At 40.2% G+C, this 6,725-nt stretch overlaps 1 annotated feature.

Moving 5' to 3' along the window:
* Nucleotides 4,360-4,941: an enhancer, noted in NCBI's record as "NANOG-H3K27ac hESC enhancer chr16:49403360-49403941 (GRCh37/hg19 assembly coordinates)". NCBI's record gives its function as "activates a minimal SCP1, AML or CMV promoter by ChIP-STARR-seq in naive H9 embryonic stem cells {active_cell/tissue: H9 hESC(naive)}" and the evidence as "EXISTENCE:reporter gene assay evidence [ECO:0000049][PMID:30033119]".

Raw genomic sequence — 6,725 nt, forward strand, 5'->3', positions numbered from 1 at the left:
TCATTCACTCATTCATTCACTCGCTGGCTGTATTTGTGCCTGTTTATCATTGTCTCCCCTACCTACAGGCCTGCTAAATGGGAACAGACCATGTGACTGTGCCCTGCTGGCCTGAGCCCACCCCCACCACCCTTGATAAGATTGGGATAACAGCTGCCCCAAGGAAAATCAGGTCTGAGCCAAAGAGAGTGGACTGAGTCCTTGAGATTTCTTTCTTTTCAGGGAGTATTGGGGGAGGATTTGAACCAAGAAAAAATGCAATTTTTGGTGTCATCAAGTCCAAAGCTCATACCACTCACAGCACAATAGCCAATAAGTCAAGAGACAAGGTCTTGGGGCAAGGAAAGTGACTTTATTTTAGAGAGCCAGCAAACCAAGATGACGGACTTAAGATTAAAGACATCTTAAGCTCATATGAATTTGGGGTTCCTTTAATGTTATGGGAAGAGGTGAAGGAGAGGGTGGTGGTCAAAAGGTTACTGATGACCACAGATATCTGTGCACCAGCAAGGGTAACTTTCACTGTCCTCGGTTAGGTCACGATGCTCCTGTAAATCTTTAACACAACAGTATTAACCATGTGTACACCCTCCTTATCTACTCAGGGGTTAGTTTTGGGAAGGGGCTATTGTCATCCTTGCTTTAAAGGTAAACTATGAGCTAAAATTCCTCCCTTACTTGGCTTGGCCTACATACAGAAGTAAGCAAAAGCAGGTAACCTAAAAGATAATCATCACCTAAGGAGGGAGATTAGAAGCAAAATAGAGTTAGTCATGCTAGACCTCCTTTTCACTGTTACAGTGGCAGGCGCCTACGCTGAAATGTCTTGTAAAGAAAGGATGTAGGTAAAATGATCTAGAAGACACTGATTGTGATACAGACAAAAGCAGAGAGCCAGAATACAAGGAGAGAAGGCACAACAGCTAGACAGACAGATGGACAGGAATGAGAGGGATGTGGAGCCCTCAGCCTTGGCTCCCATCTGTTTTGTTTCTGGTTCTAGTACCCTGAGGCCCAGCTGTGTACCCTGGAGCCTTGAGTTGTAAGATTATCAGTAAAATTTTCCAGTAGACATTTTGGGTGTGGGCTTTCCAGCCCAGTTCACACGGTATCATTACTTCTATGTCCTTGTGGAAACTTCCTTCCTTCTCAACAGAGAAACACTGTGTTGAGTTGTTAAGCAATAGCCTGCCCTCTCCTAGTGCTATTTTTACTTGGGCTAGTCTGAGTAGGTTTCTGTTCTCGGCATCTAAAAATGCTTTGACTAGTACAGATATTGATACAGTGATTCATTCTAACCTTAACTCAATGATTGATGCCCTCACTGGTTTTATCTACTCAATGTTTCATTTGAATAATTCAGTCATTCATTTACACATTGATTTGCTATTTGTTTATTATAGCAAAAAATAGTTGTCAAGCACCTTCTATGTGGCAGACCCTGTGCTTGACACCCCAGGTGATGTGGAAATGAACCAGGTGTGGTCTTTACTCTCAAAGCCTCATGAATAATAGCATGAATGGAATGCAATTAAGTATAAGGTAGACATTAATAAATATCAATGTTGTTAAGTCAAGTTTAGCCTAAAGCTCCCTCCTTACATATTTTAAGTTTTGGCCTAAACGTTTTTCTGTACATCATGAACTGTAACAAATGGAAGTGTAAACAGACCGTAGCCTACACTTGTGCCAATTACTGAGTTTTGGCAATCAAATGTAGCCAACTGTTCAAACCATATTCAAATAAGGCAAATGCCAACCTATAACCAACCCAGCTGTTTCTGTATTTCACTTCTGTTTTCTGTATGTTGCTTTCCTTTATCTGTTCATAAATCTTCTTCTGCCATGTGGCTGTGCTGGAGTCTTAGAGCCTACTCTGGCTTGGGAGGCCGCCTGATTCACAAATCCTTCATTGCTCAATTAAACTCTTTTAAATTTAATTCAGCTGAAGTTTTTATTCTATCAATGTGCATTGTACATTCAGTAGAAGGATTTCAGGATAAAAATTAGAAAATGTTTCTTGGAGAGACTAGGCCATAAAAGAGCTTCTACTTCAGTTTGAATTTGGAAATTAGAAAGAAGGAAAAATAAGAAAAGCCAGGGATATTTCTCAAGTTTAATAATAGCAGCCATTTGTGAAATGGGAGGGTATCTGAGAGATTAAAGAACCCAGATCATTGGAAGAAAGTTTCTACTCTTGGAGACATAACTAACATCATGGTTTGACTTTGATGCCTTCTAAATACACCCTTATCCCACAAGGCCAGGAGCCCAGCAAAAGTGCCTTCTAGTCCCTGGGCCAAGCCACTCCAGACCCACTCTGCCTCTCCTTCCCCTTGGGAAACTAACCTGGGCTTCTGTTTCCCTTCCACCACCAGTGTCTCTGAGGTGTTCTAGTCAGAAAAAATGTAATAAAGCTTTTCAGCCCAAGTTTAATATCCTTTGAGGAAAGTGCATTTCTCTTTCAAAGTTGATTTGTTTGCATGAATGTTCAGGGAAAAAATAGACCTTGGAAGATAAACTTTCAGCCATGGAAAACTTTCAAAACAGAACTTGCCCCCCACAAGAACTGCAGAAATAGAGTCTAGACAGTTTTGATTATGCTGTTAGTTTTCAGTGGGGTTGTACCATTCCCGAAAAGACATTTAGGAAATTTGGGGGATTACCTTTGTAAGCCAAAAATAAAATCCTAAGTCCCCCTAATTGACTGTACAGACCTCTCTGGGACAAGAGAAACCTGAAAAATTGAATTCCTGGCCTTGGTAAGAAGGAAGATTGAATACGCCTCAGTATAGTCCCTCCTTTATGGAGTTTAGGCACAACTGACCAGAATTAACATTAAAATAGAGATCCCAAGTTTCACAAAACAGATTCTTTGGCAATAAGATACCAAATTCCAGCCTGACGCTGGTATAGCATCACATGACAGATAGAAGACCCTGAAGGAAATGAAACTATTTTATCCCAAGAGATTTTTCTTTGACATATTTTGAAATGGCCCTGCAAAGCCATCTTTTGTAGGGGAACGCTTGCATCTGTAAAGAACCTCCGTTAATGCAGCCAGGCCTATCCCTGATCTAGAAGAAATTAGCTAAGAGTCAGATACCTTTTAAGGTCTACAAGAGACATTTACCATCTATTCTCTCTGAAGCCTGCTACCTGGAGACTTCATCTACATAACAAGAAACTTGGCTTCCACAACCCCCTATATCTTAACTCAAGCATTTCTTTCTACTGACTTCAAGTCTTTAGCTTAACTCTTTCAACCTATTGCTAATTAGAAAATCCACCTGTGACCTGTAAGCACCACCCCACTCCACTTCAAGATGTCCCACCTGCCTGGTGAAACCCCGTCTCTACTAAAAATAAAAAAAATTAGCCGGGCGTGGTGGTGGGTGCCTGTAGTCCCAGCTACTCAGGAGGCTGAGGCAGGAGAATGGCGTGAACCCAGGAGGTGGAGCTTGCAGTGAGCCAAGATCGTGCCACTGCACACCAGCCTGGGCGACAGAGCAAGACTCCACCTCAAAAAAAAAAAGATATCCCACCTGCCAGGTGCGGTGGCTCACACCTGTAATCTCAGCACTATAGCTGTAATCTCAGCACTATGGGAGGCCGAGGTGGGCAGATCACGAGGTCAGAAGTTCAAGACCAGCCTGGCCAGCATGGTGAAACCCTGTCTCTACTAAAAATAAGGAAAATTAGCCAGGCATGGTGGCACACACCTGTAGTCCCAGCTATTCAGGAGGCTGAGGCAGGATAATTGCTTGAACCCAGGAGGCAGAGGTTGCAGTGAGCCAAGATCACACCACTTTACTCCAGCCTGGGTGACCGAGTGAGGCTCTGTCTCAAACAAAACAAACAAACAAACAAATATATGTATATATATGTCCCACCTTTCTGGGCTGAACCATTATATATCTTACATATATTGATTTATGCCTTTGCCTATAACTTCTATCTTCCTAAAATGTATAAAACCAAACTGTAACCCAACCACCGCAGGCACATGTTCTGAGGATCTTTCGAGACTGTTTCCTGGGCCATGGTCACTCATATTGGCTCAGAATAAAACTCTTTAAATATACTACAGAGTTTTCTTTTTTTGGTCAACACAACTGACCAGGATTAACATTAAAATAGAGATCCTAAGACTCTATTTAGGGGAAAATCATAATCCAAATTTGCTACAATATTTTTAAATTGGCAAATAAAGTTGTATACATTAATAATAAACAACGTGATGATATATTGTGGAATGACTAAATTATTATCAATTATTTTATTTGTGACCAGACATTATAATATTGAAATATACCCAAAAAGAGACTGTATTGTTAAAATTTTCTTTTTTATATTAGTTTAGAGGATTATAGCAATTTTTTAAAATGTATGTATGCAGATAAGTTAAGTTTTATATGGATTTCATTTCCAAATAGCAAACAAGGTATTACAAAATGTATTAAAAGGGCATTAGCAAGGGACAGTGTCTATGGCCAAGCTCTCCCCGAAAAGCAACTATAAAGCTCCAAAAAATTGATCAAAACCATCATACAGCACTCCAGAAATCAACTGAAGGCATACAACAGTTGGAGCAACATTTATGCTTGAGAACTGCAGAAATCTGGGTAACAACAGTGAGAATCTGTGGCATTCTAGCCTAAGGCTGCTCCCATCTCCGGCTGCTAGCTAAGTCAGTAGGGAGGCTCCTCCAGGGTGGGGCACACTGGGAGGCGAGGCAGTTTCTCTGCTGCAGTTAAAGGGAGCTTATTTGACTTAGAGCACTGGCCAACATCCACTCTTGGCAGCCATGTTGGTTTAAGTAAAAGTTGCCAAGGCAGAAAAGCAGGAGGGCCAAAAGGTCCTTTAGACTGAGGTTGCAGTCATGACTGGGGTAAATGTTTCTGGCTAAAGCTGCATAGTTGCATAGCAGAAACCAGAAAGGGCCCAGTCTAGCCAGACTCTGCTGGCCAACTCTGAGGCTGCACAGATATGCAGAGGAGATGAGAAAGAGCCCAGTAGAAAGCAAAAAATAGAGAAAGCATGAAAATGAACTGAAGTTTGAATGTGTTCCTATGGTAGGCTGCTTCTAAAATGGCTCCTATAAATGCTGTCCTCGGTATTAGCACCCTGTGTAATCCCCTCATGTTGGGTGAAGCTGACATAGTGACTTGCTTCCAAAAAATCACATGCTAATATGGCAAAAATGGTGGATGTCATTTCCAAGGTTAGACTGACTTCTGCCTTGCTCTCACTCTCTCTCTGGTTCTTCCCCCTTCCTGTGCTGATGAAGCAAGCTGCATGTCATGAGCTATCCTATGAAGAGGCACATGTTACAAGGAACAAAGGGTGTAACATGTGACAAAGAAGGGATGTTCTCTGTTCAATGGCCTGCAAGGAACCCAATCCTGCCATCAATCACATGAGGGGTGTGGAGGCAGATCCTTCCCCTGTCAAACCTTCAGATGACTGCAACCTGGCCACCACCTTGATTGTTGCCTGGGCCAGAGAACCCAGCTAATGCACACCCAGATTCCCGACCCACAAAAACTGTAAAATCTTTCTCTTGTTTTAAGCCACCAAACTTAAACATTAAACAGCAATAAGATAACTGATACAGCTCCCATACTCACATGTAGATTCATCAGCAGATGTCAGATGACTTTACTTGTTTAAGGTGGTTCAGCACAATCTCTGTCCAATTAGATATGCAGACACAGAGATAATGCTTAGGAAGCTAGCCTTAAATATTTTTAAAAAGCAAGAATGTAAGAAATTTCATCAGAAATTTCAGCAGCTTCACACAACAGAGAAGACAAGATTCCCAGATAGCAATTTCATGATTCACAATAAACCATGGAGTGGGGGAAATCAGAATCCAAAGTTGCTGTAATTTTTTTAATTGGCAAATAAAACTGTATATATTAGTGGTGTACAACATAATGATACATTATGGAACAGCTACATCAAGATAATTAACATATTCATGACATATCAATTAACATATCCATTGCAATATTTTCAATGCCCAGTTTTCAACAGAAAATTACAAGATATGCAAAGAAACAGGAAAGTGTGACATATACTGAGGAAAATAGCAGATAGTAGAACTTGTCTCTGAGTTTTCCTAGATTCTGTATTTAGCAAAGATTTCAAATAGCTACTCTAAATATGCTCAAAGAACTGTTTAAATTTGTAAATAAAATTATGATAATAAACAATCAACAGAGAAAGATTCTAAATAAGGAGATAGAAATTATAAAGAAAGAAATGGAAATTCTGGTGTTGAAAAGCATAAATTACAATTTTACTGTGAAGATCTATTACAACAGATTATATATGGCAGAGGAAGAGATCAATGAACTCGAAGATAGAGTGATAGAAAGTATCTATCTGAGGAAGACAGAGAAAAAAAATGTTTGAAGTAAAAGGAACAGAACCATAGGGGCCAGTGGGACAACATCAAGCCAACAGATGTATAATGAGAAAACCAGAAGTAGAAAATAAAAAGGAAGGAGCAGAAAACATATGGAAAAACCAGTGGCCAAAAACTTTCAGAATTTGACTTAAAAAAAAATTAAATACACATCCAAAATGTTCAATAAACCTCAAGTAGGATAAATATGTAGAGATCCACACCTAGACAAATCATAGGCAAGCAGTCAGAAGACAGAAAGAAATAGAAAAACAAGCAAGAGAAAAATGACTTATTACTACAAGAGGCAAAA

This window comes from Homo sapiens, chromosome 16 (assembly GCF_000001405.40).
Source record: "Homo sapiens chromosome 16, GRCh38.p14 Primary Assembly".
Taxonomy (NCBI): Eukaryota; Metazoa; Chordata; class Mammalia; order Primates; family Hominidae; genus Homo; species Homo sapiens.